General features: G+C 45.7%; 1 long non-coding RNA gene across 1 annotated transcript, besides 3 other annotated features; it reads right to left on the bottom strand.

Annotated features, from left to right (window-relative positions):
• Nucleotides 9,643-10,401: an enhancer, noted in NCBI's record as "H3K27ac-H3K4me1 hESC enhancer chr18:72079849-72080607 (GRCh37/hg19 assembly coordinates)". NCBI's record gives its function as "activates a minimal SCP1, AML or CMV promoter by ChIP-STARR-seq in naive H9 embryonic stem cells {active_cell/tissue: H9 hESC(naive)}" and the evidence as "EXISTENCE:reporter gene assay evidence [ECO:0000049][PMID:30033119]".
• On the bottom strand, nt 9,806-13,567 carry LINC01922 (long intergenic non-protein coding RNA 1922). The gene is made up of 2 exons (NR_131977.1): nt 13,484-13,567; nt 9,806-11,425 (listed from the first exon to the last, which is right to left on the bottom strand). It is a non-coding gene; the product is annotated as a long intergenic non-protein coding RNA 1922 (long non-coding RNA).
• Nucleotides 10,402-11,160: an enhancer, noted in NCBI's record as "OCT4-NANOG-H3K27ac-H3K4me1 hESC enhancer chr18:72079090-72079848 (GRCh37/hg19 assembly coordinates)". NCBI's record gives its function as "activates a minimal SCP1, AML or CMV promoter by ChIP-STARR-seq in naive H9 embryonic stem cells {active_cell/tissue: H9 hESC(naive)}" and the evidence as "EXISTENCE:reporter gene assay evidence [ECO:0000049][PMID:30033119]".
• Nucleotides 19,463-19,963: an enhancer, noted in NCBI's record as "H3K4me1 hESC enhancer chr18:72070287-72070787 (GRCh37/hg19 assembly coordinates)". NCBI's record gives its function as "activates a minimal SCP1, AML or CMV promoter by ChIP-STARR-seq in naive H9 embryonic stem cells {active_cell/tissue: H9 hESC(naive)}" and the evidence as "EXISTENCE:reporter gene assay evidence [ECO:0000049][PMID:30033119]".

The following is a 22,340-nucleotide window of genomic DNA, read 5'->3' as shown; positions in this document are numbered from 1 at the left end:
TCTTGAGGATAATTGAGAAAATATATTTACCCCTAAATCACGAACAACGGCTGTAACATAGCCATCTATCTTAAATCCTTTCTGGACCGAGGAGAGGGATGACTAAACACATCCTTTTAGGTCCAGCATGAGCTGTGTGGAGGAACCTGTTGGAAATGTATGTACACACATCTGCAGCTTGGCCATACCTTTTGTTCTTGGATCCATCCTTGGACTCTGTTCTCCAAATCTTCCTGGGACTGTAACCTCCCCACAGGGGGACCATATGGGAGGGGCTCATGGGAGAGCAGGAAGCACCATATGGCAACTTGGAAAGTTCACGGCAGGGTGGCTGAGGAAATTTCTACTTGAGGTCAATGGTGCAACTGATTTTCGGGCCCATTGGCAAGGACCTCAGAAGACAGCTGTTCCTGCTGCTGCTTCCAGGGGTCCATATGGGCTCATAATAAATTCTAATGTGAATTTTCCTTGGAACATATATGCCTGAGATTCCTGATGAAGTTGTCCATACAGTCATCTCCTCCCCAGCTTGATTGAACAGCTGAGTCTGAAGATTAAAACAGGGGGCCCATTTTCAACTAATGAGTAGTCAGAAGGTTTAGGTACTTGCTCTAAGGAAATAGCTGGAATGTGTTAGCTTTAGAGAGAGAAGCTGTTATCTTAGCTATCCACCTATCCATCCATCCATCCATCCATCCATCCATCCATCCATCCATCCATCATCCATCCATATCTATCTATCTATCTATCTATCTATCTATCTATCTATCTATCTATCTATCTATCTATTGTCTAGCCATCTTATGGTAGTATATACCTAAAAGGAGATTCCACAGAAGCTCTCTTATTTTGAAAAGAAAATATTGAGTGAGATGGTACCATTTTTGAGAAGTAATATCTACAATGATGCTGAAAGTATAAATGACATGAATTAGTACAAAAATTGGAAACCTTTCACAGTTGGGGTGCCAAGTCTTCGTAAGTGCACTGGTGGAGCCAACCTGCTGCAAAGCTTACAGAACACTCAGTGTTCCTGGCGGGTGACAGAATGAGGGGCTGGAGAAAGCCACCCCGACCCCTCTCCCCTTCATGAAAGTTTCCTTTTAAAACGCACCCCCCTCCCCGCCGTGTATAAGTGAAAGGAAAATCACATTTCACCCTCAATTTCTCCCCTCCTTTCCCTTTTCTCCCAGGTGAAGAGGATGGCCTGTGTTTTCCAGGCTTTTGTAAGCAGTTCTTTTTAAAGTTGTACCTGGGTCTTTGTGAAGCTAGAGAAGCAGGCAGGTATCTCTGAAACAATCCCATTTTTTACCTCTAACAGGCCCAAGGAAACATAATCTGAAAGGGTTTGGGGACCATCCTAGTCCTTTTCATGCTGCTATAACAGAATACCACTGGCTGGGTCATTTATACTGAAAAGAAATTTATTTCTCATAGTTCTAGAGGCTGGGAAGTCCACTATCTAGATGCTGGCATCTGGCGAGGGCCTTCTTGCTGAGACATTCCATGACAGAAATGCAAAGAGTGTGTTTGAGAGAGAAGGGAAGGGGGCTGAACACGTCCCTTTACCAAGAACCCACTCCCATGATAACAGCAGTAATGGGCTTTGCCTTCATGACATAAGCACTGCTAAAACGCCCTGCCTCTTCACACTGTTGCGTTGGGTTTAAGTTTCCAACACATGAACTTTGGGGGACCCATTCAAATCATAGCAGAGAAAGTTGTGGTGACAAAAATAAAGTCTGCCCAAGATGAGTAATGTACCAGCTCCTATGTCAGCATTCAAGATCTTGCAAATTGGGTTCTTAGGAGGACGTTTGTATTCTTCCTGTTGCTTCTCATGACGTTGAATTTGGGAATGTGTGTGTTTCACCAGTTGGCACCAGAGTGAGGTTTGGGAGAAAGAGACACATGGGTGAGGAGATGTGGGTGGCTGCTGGCAAGAGCCCACACCAACCCAGACTGTTCTTCTAGCACCAAGAGGCACATCCTAAACGGGAAATCCCAGCAGGGGAAGGTACTGCTAGTGGGAACCGCGTTGTCTCTGGGGCAACTTTCTGGGTAAGAGAAGGGGTTAAGCCTGCTTAGGTCTTGGCCTGTTTTGTGTTGTTCTCTGTATTACTCAGGGTTTTCTAGAGGGACAGAACTAATAGGATAGATGTATATATAAAAGGGAATTTATTAAAGAGAATTGACTCGCATGATTACAAGGTGAAATTCCACAATAGGCCATCTGCAAGCTGAGCAGCAGGGAAGCCAGTCCAAGTCCTAAAACCTCAAAAGTAGGGAAGCAGACAGTGCAGTCTTCAGTCTCTGGCCAAAGGCCCAAGAGCCCCTGGCAAACCACCAATGTAAGTCTGAGAGTCCAAAAGCTGAAGAACTTGGAGTCTGATGTTTGAGGGCAGGAAGCATTCAGCATGGGAGAAAAATGAAGATGGGAAGACTCAGAAAATCTGCTCTTTCCGTCTTCTCCTGCCTGCTTTATTTTAGCCATGATGGCAGCTGATTAGATGGTGCCCACCCAGATTGAGGATGAGTCTGCCTCTCCCAATCCACTGACTCAAATGTTAATCTCCTTTGGCAACACCCTCACAGACACACCCAGGAACAATACTTTGCATCCTTCAAACCAATTAAGTTGACATTTAATATTAACCATCACATTCCCCTTGGACTATGGAGGCCATCCTACACTACACAGTTGAAAATCTTCCTATTCAACCACTTGTTTCCCTTTGGTTGTTCTAAACCCTTCAAGAAAATCTTATTCAACTTCACGTGGCATAGAGAATGAAGGGCTGGGGCTGAGAAGGCAGGGCGCTCAGGCCACTGTCATCCTCTGCTCTGCTGGGGTACCCAAGTGAGGACATGGATTCTGGAGAGGCGGAGGAGGAAGGGGTAGCCACAGGGGTGTGGGGGCAGCCCCTGGAGGGTGACTGGATTTCATGTTTGGAGTGGAACCCACTTAAGATGTCTTCAGTCGACTCATAAGGGATCCCAACAAGTCAATTAGCAGCTGTAAATAATTTACAATGCTGAGCAAGCTGCTGAAATGGGCAGAGGAGTCATCAGTTTGAAATCTTGGAGAGGGAGACGTGCTGATACATGGTTGGCAGAAAAGTCACTGAAGTGCATCTTAACAAATGGACCTCACTTCTGGCGATGTGATAATGAGCTTAGTGGATAACAGGAGTGAAGTGAACTAGGGTACCTTTCTGTCTCTTTTAAGCACTTAAGCCTCTCCATAAAGATCTCTCTCAGGGAAAACCAGCTCATTTTATATCCACGTATTGTGGTTCTATTGGCTCTTATGTTTTTCCTGGTGACAGCATATATCAAGTAATTATTAATAGCTCAATGTCAAAGTCAGGAGGAAGTATTGATCTGAAGAAAGCACTTTCTCAATTGCTACCAGCTTTGGAGATTGAAATTGACATTAAGCCTTCTAATTCCTTGGAAGAAACAAATAGAAATCTATAAAAGAAGGTTTATTGGGGACTAAACAAAGAAATGGGTTGGGAGAGAAAAACTAAAACCATAAATGAAAAGTGGTGGAGACAGATGTTTCCGTGGGCAAGAGTATGCCATGGAGGAGGATGAGGAGCAGCCACAGATCCTTTGTGAATGCCTGATGCAACAGTATTGGAGTTTACCACTCATTCACAAGGGGACAGCAAAGTATTTCACAGCCACAAATGGGTGTTGTTGTCATGGACATCAGCTCTAACCTGAGGTCTTCTTGATGGAGTTTCACCAGCTCACGGGTGGGACTTGTCCACATCAATCACACAGTACATGTGGGCTGCTTCCTCTGCTCACAAAAGGGGGATACCTAGAGTCGCATGGCAAAGTTTACTGATCTGGGAAAGTAGACTGGCATTTTGGCAGATTGGCATTTTCCTGAGGTCTGGGAGGGAATTCTGCTGGTCCAGAAATGATTTGGGAGCAGCGAGGCAGGAGGGGACTGTCAGAGGCAAGAATAGGCCTCCTGAAACCAGGGGATCTTTGAGTGAGGATTTTACAGGCGCTTAGGTCATTACTGTGGCTGTTTGAATAATGCGGACTGAGATCCCAAGGACATCCACGCTCCTCTTTTGCCTCCTTGCCTCTTCACATGCTGAAATATTCTCCCCACCTCCTGCACCAGGCAGGTGCCCACCCATCCTTCAGGGTGCTTCCCATTTCTCCTCTTCCTCTTCTCTTTTGAGAAGACCCCTGGCCCCCTTCTCTGCACTCCCCTTAGCCTTGGCACATAGCTCCGTCATTGTGGACACAATCAGCGCATGTCCTTCCTTGAGACTGTGAGGGGACCTCCATGTCCCCATCACTCAGCTTAGTGCCCAGTGATGTCAGTGAGTGACCTGTGATCAGCATGGGATTCTCACAGATCCCTGACCATCTAGGAATAAAGAGAACTTGGAGGTGAATGTAAAGAAGAGCCATGAGGCTAGTAAGTGGATTGCGTCAGGGATGGACTGGAGGATGACCCAGGAAGAAAAGCATGGGTGACAGAAGGGGATAATCAAGTCTAGATTGGAAGGGCAGGTATTTTTACCTGTTTAGTTCACTTGTATACGCCCAGTGCCTGGCACATTACAGATACCCAATGAATGTTTTGCATGGATGTGTCCAACTTACCCTGCAGAATAAGGAGTTTGAGTTGAGTGTGGTGAAGGATTTCCTTGCCACAATTATTACTGGGCTCTGGAATTGATCATGAAATTCTATCTCTGGAGGAAGTCAAGTCCCTGGAGGCAGACTCTGCTTAATAAACATTTCCTGAGGGCTAGAAAGTAAATAGTCTCTTAAACTACTGGGACACTGGGTTTCTTAAACTACTGGGGAAACTGTTTCCCCAAGCTGGCGAACCATGAGAACTCCCACAGAAACGTTTTAAAATGCAAATATGCAGGTTCCATCTCAAACCTCCTTAATCTGTATCTCTAGGGATGACTCCAGAGTCAGCTTTTTTTTTTTTTTTTTTTTTAAGAAAAGCTTCCCCTGTCATTCTGATGATCAGCTAGGTTGGTTTGCCAAATTTTGGTAGAGAAAAGTAATCAACTAGGACATTTTGAAAACTAGTGCTAATTCGAACAGCTAATACTAATATACTTTTGGTATAGTTCTTCATCGCCAGGGGGCCAATGGTACACTAGTAAACTGAGGCAGGGCCAGCTAGAAGTGGGTGCAAAATGCCCCTTTCACAACTCTGCCCTTCACTCTACCGAATACTCCACAAAGTGCATATTAATTCCCAAAACCAAGGACTCCCCTCTACAAAAGCAAACACTGCATTTCAGGGAGAGTCAATTGTTATATAATACACCTGGATTCATTCCCTATGGCTGTAACAAATGACCACAAATTTAGCGGCTTAAAGCAACAACAATTTATTCCCTTACAATTCTGCAGGCCAGAGCCCAAACTCAGGTTCATGAGGTCAAGGTGTCAGAGGGCTGGTTCCTTCTGCAGGATCCAGGGAGAATTTCCTTCTTGCCTCTTCCGGTGCTTGGTGGCTGCTCCTGTTCCTGGGCTTGTGGCCACCTCACTCCAAGCTCTGCTTTCGTGATCACACCTCCTCCCTCCTACAAAGACACTTGTGATGACTTTTAGGGCCCACCTGGATCATCTCTGAATCCTTAAGTTAATCGCATCTGTGAAGTTCCCTTTGCTATAGAAGGCGCTGTTCACAGGTTCCAGGATGAAGATGTGGGCATCTTTGGGGGGGGTCATGATCAGCCAACCACTCACCCTACTCTGGATGAATGAACCATGCAGACACTTGGCAAGTTACTTGACCTCCTAAATGTAACGAAAATCAACTGTGGAGAGTGAAGGTGAATTTTTGTTTGAAGAAAGAGAACTGCAGAGCGAGGAGAGCGAAGGCTGTGGCTCCTGTGTCTGCCAGAGGTGAGTGAACCCTGGGGTCTGAGGAGCAGAGCGAGGCTGCCTGTGGGTTGGAGGGAAAGGGCAGGAAGGGCCAGGCAAGCACCATCTGCTTCTGTGGGAGGCTTTTAGGGGAAAGGGTAAGGATTCCACACCCGCCCTGCCACCTCTGCGTCCGATTGTGAACACTTTGGGAAAGAGACTTTTAGACATGTGTTAGTGATTAATACCGTTGCTATAACCTGTACACAAAGATGGTGCCTATACCAAGGTATCAAGTTCCCAAAAGGAAACACTTAATTTTCACTTTGTTTATTTTATCCTTTTAACCTAAAGCCACAGTGCTCTGAGAAACTTTCTTCTCCTGCAAAAGATTTCACTAACGCGAACCTGAGAGAGTTTTCTAAGCTTCACAGCTGCAAATATTAACATGGAGACTAGCAGATTACAAATCATGCAGAGCTTTTGACAAGGTCTTTAAGGAAGGTCGAAAGGAAGGGGGTATTTTTTAAACGTATCTCAAGATTCCAAATAGAAAGTTCCTGAACTTAAATAACGATATTTTTTAAAAAGAGACATTCTTTTCCTTAAAGCACGAATAAATTACCATGCTTTTGTGTTTGCCACCAAATGAAGTCATTTAAAATGAAACATTTTTTAAGCTGCTCCTACTGGGAACGGGCTTGGAAATGAGTGGGTGTCCCGTTTTCTGGGTGTGTGGGAACGCGTTCTTTCTTTGCGAGCCTTCCAGTGGGAGAATGAGCCCTGTGACCTGTGGCAGGTGGCCAAGAGGAGAGCCCTAGGGAGGGTGTCTCTGTGCAGGCCTTGGAGACCACAGCAGGATCTCAAGCCATCCTTTTCCATTGGGGTCGGAAAGGAAAACGCCGGGACGATGACACCTGCAGCCCATGCCCGGGGAGACAGGCTCTCCTCCCTCAGCACATGCCCGGCCCTGCTGGCCTCTGCCCTTGAATGTAGGAGACTTACTGCTGGCGTGGGGTCTGTGCCATGTCACAACTTCAAATGGAGAGACCTGGGGAAGAGCCAGCCTTGGAGGCTGACAACATATAAGACACGTGGACTGCTGGTGGTCAGTGGTTCACCTTAGCAGAAACGCAGACTCCTGTGTTTCTGAGCTCTGTATTTTGCAGAAACACAGACTCCTGAGTTTCAGAGCTCTTTCTGAGCTCTGTATTTTGTTGGTTTTTGCTTTATTAAGTAGGATCAAATGCCCTCAAACTTCATAAGGATCTGGAGGCAACAATGCATAGTACTGAAGGGCACAGGTGGTTCATGCCACATCATCACTACCTAGTGCATGCGTGCCTTGGTTTCCCTGTTTGTGGGTCAGATGTGGTCAACTCTCAGAAGCACTGGGCACAGTGCACTCAGTGCCTGAGACTAAGCTTTATTTGTTCCTGAATCCTTAGCACCACACACAGTGCCTGGCATATAGTTGGTGCTCAAATGAGTGTTTATGGAGGGATTGTGTGATGGTGTTTTTCTAACTAGAGCACTCTGTAATTGATAGAGGATGATGCTTTGATGATTACCGCTCAGAAAAATGCTGTGAACATTCACAGGGCTTGACTTTCCTATTTAGGGGTGACCACTATAAACTTATTTCCATGGCTACATGGACAGTTACTCTCCTTACACGACACGATTATATTAGAATTATTAATTCAACCCAAACTAAGTACTGCAGCCATTGTGGGAGGAGCAAGGCAGTGAGGAGATGCACCCAGCCCGGATTCGGCTCTGACATGGGGGTGCTGGACACCGGGGCCCTGCCTCCCAGCTGCCCCCTCTGCCCATAGCTCTGGCTCAGGTCTGCCCTGGGGATTCACTTGAAGTGAGCCCTCACATGAGGAGGGTTGGCATGGCTCCAAGGCTGAGATATTCTGGGAGATTCTTGCAGTGTGAACAGGACTTGGTGGGAAACTGTCCGCCCTCTGGCTCAGCACAGGGGCTGTAGCATCTAGAAAGCAGCCCTGTGGCCAGACACCAAAGACAACAGCAGAGAGGGCCCTGGTGTGACGCGTGTCTCCCGCCCAAGACAAATGACTGGAATCAGGGGAAGAGAGCAGGCGAGGCTGCGAGGGTCACAGAAGAAAAACATGGTAGAGCCGCTAGGACCCTATGGAGAAGAATGATATTTGAGGGCTTTAGTGTAACAATGTGCATCATTGGAAGGGAATTTTCACCAATAGCAGGGGTTTAGCCCAGTCTGCAGAGCTTCAGCCAGGCCCTGTGTATTACAAATGAGTGTGACCCACGAAGACACAGGACTTTGCCTAGGAGTGCTTTGTGAGTATTTCAGAATGTTGTCTATACTTGAAAAAAATAAAATTGCACCTTGGAGGGGAAAAGTCTGGATGCGCTGATGCTCCACCCGACCAGGTCCCAGAATGATGGGCCTCCACTGCCCACCGTGCTCTGAATGGCACAAGCAATACTTAAAACCAACATTTACAGAAGCTGCTTCCCCCAAACACCCCTCAACAGCCTGCCAAGAGCTTCCGTAAATTTAACTTCCATGAATTTCAATCTCAATCCTGCTCTGGCATCCATGAGGCTCTGTCTTTGAAACACCTTCAAAGGCTCCATCTCTGCACCCTCCCTCCGCCTCTCTCCTGTCTTCTCTTTCTGGCATTTCTAAGGTGGACTTGCGTCAAACAACACGCAGAGCCCGAGAGGCCTGTGCTGCAGCCTCTCTGTTTCTCAGCGTCTGTGGAGCACCGAGGCCCCTGCTGCACTGTGCTGAGGCCACCCTCTCTGTGAACAACCGCTAAGTCCAGGTGCCTCCTAGCTCTGGGTGACAAAGGCAAGGAGACACTGTCCCTGAGCTCGAGTACCTCCTGGTGTAACTCAGGTGACCTGGGCCATTCTTTAGGAAAATCTGTGACCCAGAAATGATTTCTTTCAAGACTATGACCTGTCCCAGATCAGGCGCACCCCCTTGGTTATAAAACAGAACATGAAGATGCTTTGTTTGTCTCTCGTTTTCGCTTCCCCCCAAGCCAAACAGTGCTGACATCAGTTATGCTGTGCTGCTCCCGTCTTTGGAACCATGGGTGTTCACTTTGTTCTCATTCCTTCTAGTCTGTGCCAGCACTTTGATCAGCGTGACACAGGAGAGCTGATTGGAATGCAGACAGCTTAGGCTAAATGAGCAGAAGGAGGCCGGGCGCACAGTGGCTCACAACTATAATCCCAGCACTTTGGGAGGCCAAGGTGGGTGAACCACCTGAGGTCAGGAGTTTGAGACCAGCCTGGACAATATGGTGAAAGCCCATCTCCACAAAAAATACAAAAATTACCCAGGCGTGGTGGCGTGTACCAGTAATCCCAGCTACTCAGGAGGCTGAGGCAGGAGAATCTCTTGAACCTGGGAGGTGGAGGTGGCAGTAGGCAGAGATTGAGCCACTGCACTCCAGCCTGGGCAACATGGCAAGACTCTGTCTCAAAAATGTGTAATAATAATAATAATAAATGAGCAGAAGGAGAGGGTTCAGGATGTAAATAGCTGTAGACATCTGCAAGAGCATTCTCCAAAGTTGAAGTTGCTCTCTGTCCAGGATGAAACCGCCCTATCGGGGCTTCATATCCTCTTCCCCCTGTTAATCCTTGAATCCTTATGCTCACTCCAGTGGGGAGGACCTTCCTAAGACAAAAACCACAGGATGGCAGATCGCCTTCCCTTTGCACGCATGGCACCAGGGTTGTGTTTGAAAACCCATGCCTATGCAGAGAGAAGATGGCCTGGAGCCACACCACTTCCAGCCATCCCATCTGGGAGCTGAGGACCAGGGCTGTTAGGGCAGGTGTCCCCCAGGGCTACAGGGGAAAAGCAGGTCCTTCCCAACTGTCTTCAGGGGCGATGGGACTAGAATGAAAGCAGCCACCACATCAGAGATTTGTTCGTAATTCTAGTTCTTTTTTCTTTCAAGGCCCTTTGTAGGTATCTGCAAAAGAGGACTTGAGGGAGTCAGCAGAGGGCTTTTTGGTGCTGGCAGCAGAGTTGTTGCTCTTTGTCCTTCATCCACTGCCCTCCTGGGGGTCCAGGGTGAAGGTGAACAGCTTAGAGCCACGGAGATGAGGGTCCTGGGAAGATCAGCGGGCATCTCAGTGCGAAGGCGCCTCAGGTGGAGGGGCCTGCTTTAGGGTGAGGATGAGACCAGGGCCCTGGGAAGGCCAGGAAGCCGAGGTGAGAGCAAGCCAGGACAGATGGGGTGAGGAGGGGCACAGACCACCTGCTCCAGCCGAGACCTGTTCCACAGGCTCGGGCGTGGGCTCCCTTCTCACACAGAACCCAGTAACTCAGCTCTGAACGTGGCTTAGAGAAACTGCCGCTGCACCTGGCAACCCAACTCCTCAGTAAGGAGGGAGCACTTGGACATGGGGCCAGGCCCCACGTACCCTGAGTGCCAGCAGGTCTCGCCTCACGGACCTTCACTTCACTCTCCTTGGACAGGGATGAATTTGTCAGTACTGCAGCAGTGCAGGCACAGCGAGCTCCCTGCTGCAGGGGCAGGGGAAGCCGATCCAAGTCCATTGTTGGAAAACACTTTCAATGGCTCTGTCTCTGCATCCACTTCCCCCCTCTCTCCTTTCTTTCTTCCTCTCCTGGGTTCTACTGCCCACTTCAGTGACCTGATGGGCTTCTCTCCTCTCTTCCCGGGTGAGCTTGTGAGACTGTCACGTGGCAACAGGCGGGGGGGCCCTGCAACCAAAGCTCTCATTAATCCTGACAAGGGGGGACCCACCGTGCATTGCCCACTGTGGAAGAGAAAAGGCGTCCAGTGTGCTCAGCTCCTGTAACTGGACACCCTCCAGGGCGGCTGGCCACCCGCGGAGAGCTACTTGAAGCTATTTGGGTCATCAATCAGATGAAATGGGGCATTATAGTCCAATGAATGGCAGACTCTGAATAGAGAGGAAAACAGTTTCGCTAGAGTCCCAGAAGGGACAGCACCCAGAACGAGCATCTAGGCCATCGCTCAGCTGTGGCAGGGTCCCCTCTGCCCTGTCCCTGCTGGGTCATCCTTTCAGGACCTTGATTCTTCGAATGTCTGGGAACTTGCTGCCCTTCCAGGAGGCTCACTGGCGTCTTTTCACCCATCCCTTACATTCCTTACGTTTAGTTTCCACCCGTTCATCTCATCTCACCACTGAGGTTGTGCAGCGTAATCCCCTTTCCTCCTCAGCACTCACTTGAAAGAAGCCACAGTGTAGTGGCCGCCAAGGCAGGGGCTGTGGACACAGACCTCGGGTGGGATGCCCAGCTTTGCCATTTTCTATCGAGTGACCACAGGCACGTGACTCCGTCTCACTGGGTCCCAGGCTCTGCACTTTAAAATGCGGACTAAGTACATACCTACTTCCAGTCAAGATCAGAGAGACAGAAAGTAGAGGGTGGATGCCAGGGCGGGGAGGGGGATGGGCACCCGGGGCCGAGTTTCAGTTTTGCAGGATGAAGAGAGTTCTGGAGATGGGCGGTGGTGAAGGTTGCACAATGGCATGAATGTATTCCATCCTGAAATGTACACTTAAAAATGGTTACAATGGTATATTTTATTTCAAATGTATTTTAGCACAAAATGGTAAATTTTAAAAAGGAACAAAAGCCATAACATATCTACTTCAAAAAGTTATGAGAATTAGAGACAACGTCTGTAAAGCATGAGCAAGGGGCAGCTGTCTGCTGTGTGGGCACCCAGGAGGGGCTAGGCACAAGGCTGGATCCTAAAAATGGAAGGAGAGGCAGAGATTACCCCTTCCACGGTCCAGGGAACCGCAACAGCTCTCAGACTCGAAGCGCCCACTGCTAGCACCAGGACATAACGTCCTTGGGTTTTCCTTTCAAGCTCAACTTGGTTATATTATGAATTGAGAATTCCAATTCTGCCCCCATAACCCCCATGGTGAACGGAGCTGATAGGGAGATCAACCGCTCACAGAGTGGCCCTGCTCCAAACACATAAATATGCTCCATAAAGTAACAAAATGTTTGGAAATTCAGATCCTCGCTTGAAATTCTCTAGCACCAGAATGAAGGCAACTCCAAGCCACAGCTGAGAACCAAGATGGGAACTCAGTGGACTGTGAAGCGCTCAGAGCTCTGCCTCCACCTGCCTGGAGGAAGGAGTTGAGCCCACAGCTGTCCTCTGTCCCCTGCCTCATGCCCCACACTCCACACAGAGCTGGGATTTGTCATTCATGAGGGAGCCAGGAGGATCGCCCCAACTGTGATCTGGGAGTTAGAAAAATCCACCCATCTGACGGGGGACACAGCTCAGAGGCATCCCCTCCACGCCAGGAGTGGAAAAAGCATTGGCAGAATCCTGGGCCAGTTGAAGGTGCGGGCTCTGAATTCACACTGCCTATAAGCTGAGAAAAGAACACAGGAAACTGGCCCAGAGATGAGGAAACCTGGGGGCTCTGCGGATGTCCCACGCCCCAGGGCAGGTGTGTGTCTACATATGGAACTAGCTCACACTGAAGCCAAGTATTACACATCACGTGGGGAACAAACTGCCTGGTGCCAGTGGCTGGATGTAGCAATGAGAATAAAGCACACCCTGGAAGGATCTGGAAGAGATGTCAACAAAACTGTGCTTGAAGTCTCAGGAGAGGGGATGAAAAAAGTACAGGCAAAATTAAAAAGGAACGAGTAGGAATTCTATTAAGAAATGCAGTTGTGATCATGAAAACTCAACTGATGCACTGCACAGTAAACCAGCCGCGACTGAAAGCATGTGCGAGTGGGAAGGCAGGTCTGCAGAAGCTACCAGGAACATGGGACAGGACGCGGCAGAGGGAACCGCAGGAGGGACACAGAACAGCATGGGACACGAAAGGAAAACTTCCAACACATGCCCAGAGGAAATGTAAACTGGCTTAGACATAATCGAACCCATAGAACTTCCTTCAGAGGGAAGGCATGCAGAGAATGGGAAAGACAAAGTATTTGAAAAAATAAAGGCTAAAAATTTTTAGAATTTTATATTTTTATTTTTTTGAGTCAGAGTCTCGTTCTGTCGCCCAGGCTGGAGTGCAGCAGTGCAATCTCAGCTCACTGCAACCTCCGCCTCTCTAGTTCAAGCAATTCTCCTGTCTCAGCCTCACAAGTAGCTGGGTTACAGGCCCCCCCACACCAAGCCCAGCTAATTTTTTTTTTTTTTTAAGCAGAGACGGGGTTTCGCCATGTTGGCCAGGCTGATCTGGAACTCCTGGCCTTAGGTGATCCACCTGCCTCGGCCTCTCAAAGTGCTGGGATTACAGGCTTCAGACACCATGCCTAGCCATGTTTTAAAATTTAAGAAAGACTTAAGTCTTCATGTCAAAAAGCATGTGAGGTCCGAATCAGGAAAAACAGAAGCAACCTCACACTTAGACTCATCATAACTATTAAATATCAAAGATAAACTTCAGAGAAAAATGGCACATCTCTTACCACGGAATGACAATTAGAGTAATACCAGATTTCTCATCGACAATACAGGCTGAGTATCCCTTACCCACAATGCTTGGCACCAGAATGGTTTCAGATCCTGACTTTTTTTGGATTTTGGAATATTTGCATTATACTTACGCATTGAGCAGGCGTGGTGGCGGGCACCTGTGGTCCCAGCTACTCAGGACGCTGAGGCAGGAGAATGGCGTGAACCCGGGAGGCAGAGCTTACAGTGAGCCGAGATCATGCCACTGCAACCCAGTCTGGGCGACAGAGCGAGACTCCGTCTCAAAAAAAAAAAAAAAGCCAAAATCCTCCAGTGAGGGTTTCTTTGAGCATCATGTCTGCACACATAAGTTTCAGGTTTTGGAGCATTTCAGATTCTTGGCTTAAAGATGCTCAACCTATATTAAACACCAGCAAATAACATTTTTTTTTAATGAGACAAAATAGCTTTCATCCTCGAATTGTGTACTCAGCTAGCTTATCCTTCAAGAGTGAGGGTGAAATAAAGACATTTGCAGTCTAAGATGTTTGCCAGGCCATGCCCTCTGTGAAAGAATGACCAACGGGTATATCCAAGAATGGGATTGGTTTCTGGGAGCAGTGAGTGAGAGAGGCACACAGGAAGAAAAGAAGTCAATAGCATAAGGTAGGAAACCTAGATAAGTTTTAGCTCTTAAAAATGACTGATTTAGGGAAACAAGAATGGAACTAAGATAATAAAAAATGATGTGGGAAGTAGGAGGGAATGTGGAGTGAAGACATTCTGAGGGAGTGGGTTTTTTTTTTCTTTTTTAAAGAAAATAATAGAAATTTTCATTAGCTTTAATTTTGAGTGAGAGGAAATGAATTCCAGAGTATTCAAGGGAGACCTATTCTCCAAAGGGAGGGAAAGACTTTTAGCTTAACTAGGAAAATCTAAGTAAACTAGACCACATTGGGAGAGAAGCCAAGCTGTCACCCATTATCAAAATTAAAATTCCATCCTTTTCACGGCTTGTATGTCTTCTGTTTCATCAAGAAATATGCAAATGGTTCTGACCACTTGGATGCCATTTTAGGGAAATGTGAGTTGTGTTTATTTAAGTTTAGCTAAGGAGATTGGCAATAGGAGTGCTCATACTCCCCAGGATTGTAGTGGAAAATTGGAAGATGGGTCGTGGGCTGCTTGCTAGATGCCATTTGAAGCTGGGAATCTGGCGGCGACTCACTAGGCGCCAATACCTGCCACCCAGGTGTAGGCAGGTGTTGTGACCATTGAGTAGGAAAGAGAGAAACAGGTGTGACATACACCTTATCAATAATCCTGGGTGGAATCAGTGTTGAATAATGAATCACATACAATAATTAATATATGCTAAATTGTCTTAAGCCTTTTTTTTAGCATGACAGCTTGGGAAGAAGCCCCAGAAACCAGAACCTCTGAACTGGAAAAGGCTGCTATTCCTGATGTCTTTTCATCCAGAGCAGTTTGATCCAGAGCTATCTGGACAGAATATTCTGGAATGTTGAGCCTGCCCATAGGGGCAGGTAAGTATGGGGTTAACATTTAGAGGTTTTAAGATTAGGTATGTGTGTTAAAATAGAAATCGAAACTGTAACTGTCTAACAAAGAGAGAAAGAGGAAAACTAAAGAAACCTTGATAAATTCAATTTTAAAAAAGGAAATGATGAAGAAAGGAGCCAAATACGAAGCAAAGCAAATAGAAAACAAAAATGCCACAGTGGGGAGAAATCCTCACCACCCTGGATGAAAGTCCTAGCCAATGCAGCAACATAAGAAAAAGAAATCAAAGTTTAAGTACGAGAAGAAAGAAAGAAAACTGTCATTATTTTTTGGATCATATGATTGTCTAAGTGGAAAACAAAAAGAATTTGTTTTCAGAAAACTCACTGGATGAACCTGGAAGACATTACACTAAGTGAAATAAGCCAGACACAGAAAGACAAATACTGCACGACCTCGCTTTCATGTGGAATCTAAAGAAGTCAAACTCTGAGAAGCAGAGAATAAAGTGGTGGTTATGAGGGCTGGGGGTATGGGGAGATACTGGTCAAAGAGTACATAGTTTCAATTAGGATGGATACATTTAAAACAAAACCCCAAATTAAAAAACAAAAAGAACCAATTAATTGTATTAAATGCAGCAGTTTTGCTGGAAGCAACAAGTGGTTAGAAAATGTAATTGAAAGAGTTGCCATTTATAACAGTAACAACAAGAACAAAATAAAGTAGCAATAAATTTAACATAAGGTGTGTATATCCTTTCTGCAGAAAATTACATAATTTTAAAAAAGGATAGAAAGGAGCCAGGTAGCTCACACCTGTAATCCCAGCATTTTGGGAGGCTGAGGCGGGCGGAGACCAGCCTGGCCAACACGGTGAAACTCCGTCTGTAATAAAAATACAGAAAATTAGCCAGGTGTGGTGGCGGGTACTTGAAATCCAACTACTCAGGAGGCTGAGGCAGGAGAATTGCTTGAACCCAGGAGGCAGAGATTGCAATGAGCCGAGATTGTGCCATTGCACCCCAGCCTGGGCAACAAGAGTGAAACTCTGTCTCGAAAACAATTAAAAATAAAAATAAAAAAAGGATAGAAAGGAGACTTAGGTTAGTGTGAAGACCTGCAATGTCTGTGTATTTGAAGACATAATATTGTAAATGTGTCAGTTTGTCATAGTTGCTACTGCTTTGTAAAAAAATCACCCAAACTTAGTGACATAAAAGCAACCGTTTTTTATTATGCTCACGGATTCTGGAGTCAGAGTTTGGAAAGCCTGCAGTGGGGAAGCCCTCCTTCTATATCTGAGTCTAGAACAGATGAGACAGGAGGATCCACTTCCAAGATGGCTTCTTCCCTGCCAGGGCTGCTCCCTGGCCTGAGATGACTTAAAGTTTAGCTCACCTGGGAGCGTCGCCTGAGCACCTGCATGTGATCTCATCATGACGATTGGGCTTCACATGGAAGGCACTGGGTTCTAACAGGGAGTTGCCAGATGATATTTGATTCCAAATGAGAAGGTTCTTGATCTATATGGTGCAAGAACTGTCTCATTACTGATACTTCATCTCTATGGTTCAAAGAAAAATCAAGCAGTCCTAGACAGCAAAAGAGAATGCCCTATTTATACCACTCCCAAGTAGGTGGTGGTGAGGGAGGGATTGTTAAATTCGATTTAGGCACATGCCTGTAATCTCTGTGTTGTTGTTGTTTTTCATTTTTTTCTCTCCTCTTCCAGCATGAATAGAAGTCTTCGAGTTGTAAACCTAGGCAGCATATTCATTTTCTTGATTTTCTCAATTATATTTAAGCCATAACTGTGTATTTATTACCTGCCTTGAGAAATGGAGAGTGTGCCTGGTGTGAGGCAGTGGGAGAGAAAACAACACTGGCATTTTTAGAATGAGGAGTGACCAATGCCATGAATGCTGATTGTAGCTATGCAGGTCTTCTGATGGCTTATTCTTGGGGACTAAGGGTACCACACAGAAATAGGCTGCCAAACATGCAGATAGAAGCAAACCTTGCCATTCCTTTCCTGGAAAAGAGACAAAATGTTTAGTCAATAAAAAAAGTCCAGGGTTGTTGCAAAATTGTTTCTCAATGGAAGTCATTTTCTTACCTTTCCTCCATGGTGATGACAGATATGTATTTGATTTGATTTGAGAAAAAGTTCTCAAAATGAGAGGAAAACTTCATATTTTTTAGAAAAAAATAGAAGAAGAATACAAGTGGTATAGATTAAATTCATATTCCTCTAGTTGACCTCTGAAAATGACGAAATAACAACTTTTTTAAATTGCTGATTAGATAAGCCACCTAGGACCTACACCTAATCCTCACTGGCATAGCCAGTGTTGGGCATATGAATGCCAAACAGCACACCAAAAGATGCTCACATTAGTCATCAGGGAAATGCACATCAAAACCATGAGAGCTGGGTGTGGTGGCTCATGCCTGTCATCCTAGCACATTGGGAGGCTGAGGTGGGTGGATCACCTGAGCTCAGGAGTTCGAGACCAGCCTGGGCAACATGGTGAGATTCCACATCTACTAAAAATACAAAAAAATAGCCGGGTGTGGTGGCACACACCTGTAATCCAAGCTACTTGGGAGGCTGAGGCATGAGAATCGCTTGAACCTGGGAGGTGGAGGTTGCAGTGAGCTGAGATCATACCACTGCACTCCAGCCTGGACAACAGAGCAAGACTATCTAAAATCAATCAATCAATCAATCATTCAATCATGAGTTATCACATCATACCCACTAGGATGGTCATAACAATAATAAACAACCAGAAAATAACAAGTATTGGTGAGGATGTGGAGAAATTAGAATCCTCATATGCTGCTGGTAGAAATGTTAAATGGTGCAGGTGCTGTGGAAAATGGTTTGGCAGTTCCTCAAAGTTAAAAACAGAATTGCCATACTGCCCAGCAATTCTACTTTTAGGTATATACTGAAAAGAATTGAAAATAGATGTTCAAACAAACATTTGTAAGCCAATGTTCATAGTATCATCATTCACAATTGCCATGAGGGGGAAAAAACACAAAGGCCCATCAGCAGCTGAATAAACAAAATGCCATCTCTCCACACAATGGTGTGTCATCTAGCCATAAAAAAGAGTGCGGCACTGACACAAGCCACAATGCGGATGAACCTTGATCACATAATGCAGAGTGGAAGAAGCTCAGGCACAAACAGCTATGTGTCCTATGATCCCGTTTGTATGTAATAGCCAGAGTCTGCAAATCCAGAGCAAGGGAAAGTGGATCCATGGTTGCCAATGGGCGGGAGGAGATGGAAGTTGAAAGGGACTGGTTTGTGGGTTCCTTTTGGGGTGATGAGAAAGTTCTGGAACTAGGTAGTGGTAATGATCGTCCAAGATTGTGAATGGACTTAATACCATGGAATTGTACACTTTAAAATGATTTAAAAGGTAAATTTTATGTTATATGTATTTTACTACAATAAAAAAATGTGCTGATTAGAGAAGAGAGATGCTAATACTTCTCCATCCCTCAGCTATGGACAGACAAATGTTATTGCACAGGTTTCTTCTGAAGATAACTGGTTTTTGTTTTTGTAGGCCGATACCTGTATTGAGTACTAAAAGATATATTAAATAGGACATTAAGTATACTAATCATAAAGGAAACGTTTGATAAATTGAGCTATATTAAAATCAACCACTTATATGTTCAAAAATGACCAGTAAGAGTGATTTGGCAAGCCACAGAGTAGAAGAAAGTGTTTGCAATACATGGATATGATAATAGATTTGTTTTTGTTTTTGAGACAGAGTCTTGCTCTGTTGCCAGGCTGGAGTGCAATGGCATGACCTCAGCTCACTGCAACCTCTGCCTCCCAGGTTCAAGCGATTCTCCTGCCTCAGCCTCCCAAGTAGCTTGGACTACAGGCGTGTGCCACCACACCCAGCTAATTTTTGTATTTTTAGTAGAGACAGGGTTTCACCATGTTGGCCAGGATAGTCTCAATCTCTTGACTTGGTGATCCACCCACCTCAGCCTCCTAAAGTGCTGGGATTACAGGCATGAGCCACCACACATGGCTATGATAATAGATTCTATGCAGAATACATAAAACATTGAAATCAATCAACAGGAGAAAGAGCATGGAAGGAAAAATGGTGCAAAGTCTTGGCCGGACACCCTAAGTAATATGTGCAAAGAGCCAAGAAATAGGAAGAAGTTTTTACTGATAGGCCTGTGTTCTTTCTTCTAGTCTCAGGAATGTAGTTCCTCATGATCTCTATGAATTTATTTATTATTTTTAATTAATTTTTAAAATTTCTGTCCGGGTTCAGTGGCTCACACCTGTAATGCCAGCACTTTGGGGGACTGAGGTAGGTAGATTGCTTGAGCCCAGGAGTTTACACCAGCCTGAGCAACATGTTAAAACCCTGTTTCTACCAAAAGAAAATGCAAAACATTAGCCAGGCATGGTGGTGCGTGCCTGTAGTCCCAGCTACTCCCGAGGTGGAGGTGGGAAGATCACTTGAGCCTGGGAGGTTGAGGCTGCAGTGAGCCATGATCATGCCACTGCACCATTATAGCCTGGGTGATATAGTGAGACCCTATCTCAAATATATATATATATATATATATTAAATTTCTGATTGACAAATCATAATTGTATACATTATGTTATATTCATGTTTTGATACATGTATACAATGTAATGTTTTGATACATGGTTTTGATACATGTATACAATGTGATGTTTTGAAATATGTATACAATGTGGCATGATTAAATCAAGCTAACCAGCATATCCATGGCCTCATTTACACACACACTTAGATTTATGTTCTTGAACTAGAGTGTTTCTTGAAAAGAACTTGGTCCTATGAAGTTCATACACACATAGAGACACATCTTTGGAAGTGAGAAGACTTTGGCAGCCCGGGTCCGCGGGTTCATGGAGCAGGCTGATTCAAATCCTCCATGCTGGCCGTTTGGGGACAGGTTTCCAGATGTGGCTGGGGGTGCTGTTGTAAACAGTGTTATTCCCTCTTCAGAAGGAGAGGCAGCAGCAATGGAGATGGGAGGAGAGCCAGAGGATGGCATGCAGGCTTAATCCTGCAGAGGCTCTGCAGTGCGGACGAGGCCTGGGGCTTGGTCTCGGGCTTTGGAGATAAGCAGGCTGCTGGTGACTTCCGAGAGCCACTTGCAGAGGGCTGGGCTGCAGGCTTCCCCTGCAGGAAACCCAGCCAGGACAGAAATGGAATAAGAAGAGCCCAGGGTGTGAGAGTTTGAAAAGTGCCACTCAGCTTCTGTTCTTTGGTTGTTTCTCTACCGGAATGCCATTCCCCTTTCACCTGGTGGCCTCTCATACATGCCTCAAGGCTCAGTTCAAATACTGCATACTTTCCTCTAGGAAGCCTCTCAGAGCCCATGCAGTCCGAGTCAGCTCCAACTGCATTTATGTATCTCGTCACTGAAGCTTTGTCACATTTGTAACTCACATGGGGATTTTTGGGCTGCCCCTCTTGTTTTTACTCCACTCCCATTTATAGGTTGGACTAAGTGAAGCAGAGACTGTTCAGTTGGCCTTCAGTGGCCATTCTCTTTTTCCTTAATATCAGAAACCTTATTTTATTGAGAGAATTGGTATATCCTTTTTGCCCTTCCCCCTTCTTTCTTCTCTTTTCTATTTATTTATTATTTATTTATTATTATTATTATTATTTTTTGAGACAGAGTTTCACTCTTGTTGCCCAGGCTGGAGTGCAATGGCGCGATCTCAGCTCATTGCAACCTCCGCCTTCCGGGTTCAAGTGATTCTCCTGACCCAGCCTCCCGAGTAGCTGGGATTACAGGCATGCACCACCACACCCAGCTAATTTTGTATTTTTAGTAGAGGTGGGGTTTCTCCATGTTGATCAGTCTGGTCTCGAACTCCTGACCTCAGGTGATCTGCCCGCCTCGTCCTCCCAAAGTGCTGGAATTACAGGCATGAGCCACCACGCCCAGCCACCCTTCCTCCTTCTTTCTAGCTGCCTGGAAGGCAGATGTGATGACTGAAGCTCCAGCAGCCATGATGGATAAAGAGGTTTCCTTAAGTGTGGAAGCCACTGCTTAGATAGTGAAGCAGAAAACTGGAAGGAGCCTGGATCTTATCATGGACCTGCCATATCAGCCTTGGACTGCCTTTACATGAGAGAGGAATACACATGTCATTTAAGCTACTATTATTTTGGATAGTTCTGTTATACATAGGCTAAGCAGAATCTTAACTGATAGACTTAGCATATCCTTGCAACTCAAAACTCCCTCTACCAACTCCAGAAGCATGGAAAAGTAATGTCAATTTTATGAATATGTCTGAAAAGATGGAGAAGGATATTATATTGCAAACCACATGAATTTCTAAAATCCCTTTAAAAATGTTTCTGTTCTTTCTCCAAGATACTTTTCCCTAGGGCAGCTGTTTAATTCCTATTATTTCCCTCTCTAACCCTCCAAATCTCCTCTTAAGCAGAAGCAACCATTTTCTCCCCAAGATCCTCAAAGCTTTGTCAACTTGCACATTCCAGCCAAGCAGTCTGCTGAGCAAGACAAGACCACCAGTTGCTCACTAAGTATGTCCCATGGAGTCTCAAGTTATTCTGCCACACTTTCTGTTATAAGTAATTACTTACACCTTTGTGGGTGCTTCACTTCCTTCCCCTCTACTCCATATGGTGGAGTCCTGGATGGCCCAGAACTGCTTCTTGCACCATTGTATCTCATTACCTGGCATAGCACCTGGTGCACTGGTGCTCAGAGCTTGTTGGATAAATGATGTGTAGAGTTCAACCCAACAATCCCTGGTCCTCTTTCCTGTGGCCACAGTCCCCATCACAAACGCCAAAGTAAATCAAGTCTTGTATCTCTTTGCCAAGTGAAGAATCTGGCTGAACGATGGTTATGCTCTGAGCCACTGGGAGTCTCTACTCCTCTGACCTTGGGGGACAGGATTTTACCTCCTTTTTGGTCTCTTTCTAAGTAGGGTGCAGGACAGGGAGGACGAACTTCAACTGGTCTGTTAGCTACAAAGTTGAAAGCAAATGTGCATCCAGGCTTCCCGTGTTTTCTGCGGGCTTTGCTCCATGCTTTCACAGGCTTTATCCCAAGCCTATTGGACAATTATTTTTGGCTCATTCAGTGAATGGCTTTCAGTCAATTTCTTCTGTTTTGAATGCTTGATGTAGGGCTCATCCTCATGTACTATAGTATTCAGAATATTACTGGAAAGTATTTCTTGTTAACAAATCTTTTTATCCTTAGCCCAGTTTCCTGTTCTTGGGTGCTGTGTGTGGCCTATCTGGTCACCTCGGTAAAGAATTCTAAGTGGGTTCCCTACTGAGGAGTTGCTTCTCAGATCCCACATCTGAAAAATACTGTCCTAGAATTTACACAATGTTTCATGTGTCCAGAGTCTTTAAGGATTGGTGGTAAGCAGTGGGGGTGAGGAGAACCC

Source organism: Homo sapiens, chromosome 18 (genome assembly GCF_000001405.40).
Source record: "Homo sapiens chromosome 18, GRCh38.p14 Primary Assembly".
NCBI classification, from domain to species: Eukaryota; Metazoa; Chordata; class Mammalia; order Primates; family Hominidae; genus Homo; species Homo sapiens.
The sequence above is the reverse complement of the archived record's forward strand: the minus strand, read 5'-3'. Positions and strand labels throughout refer to the sequence as shown.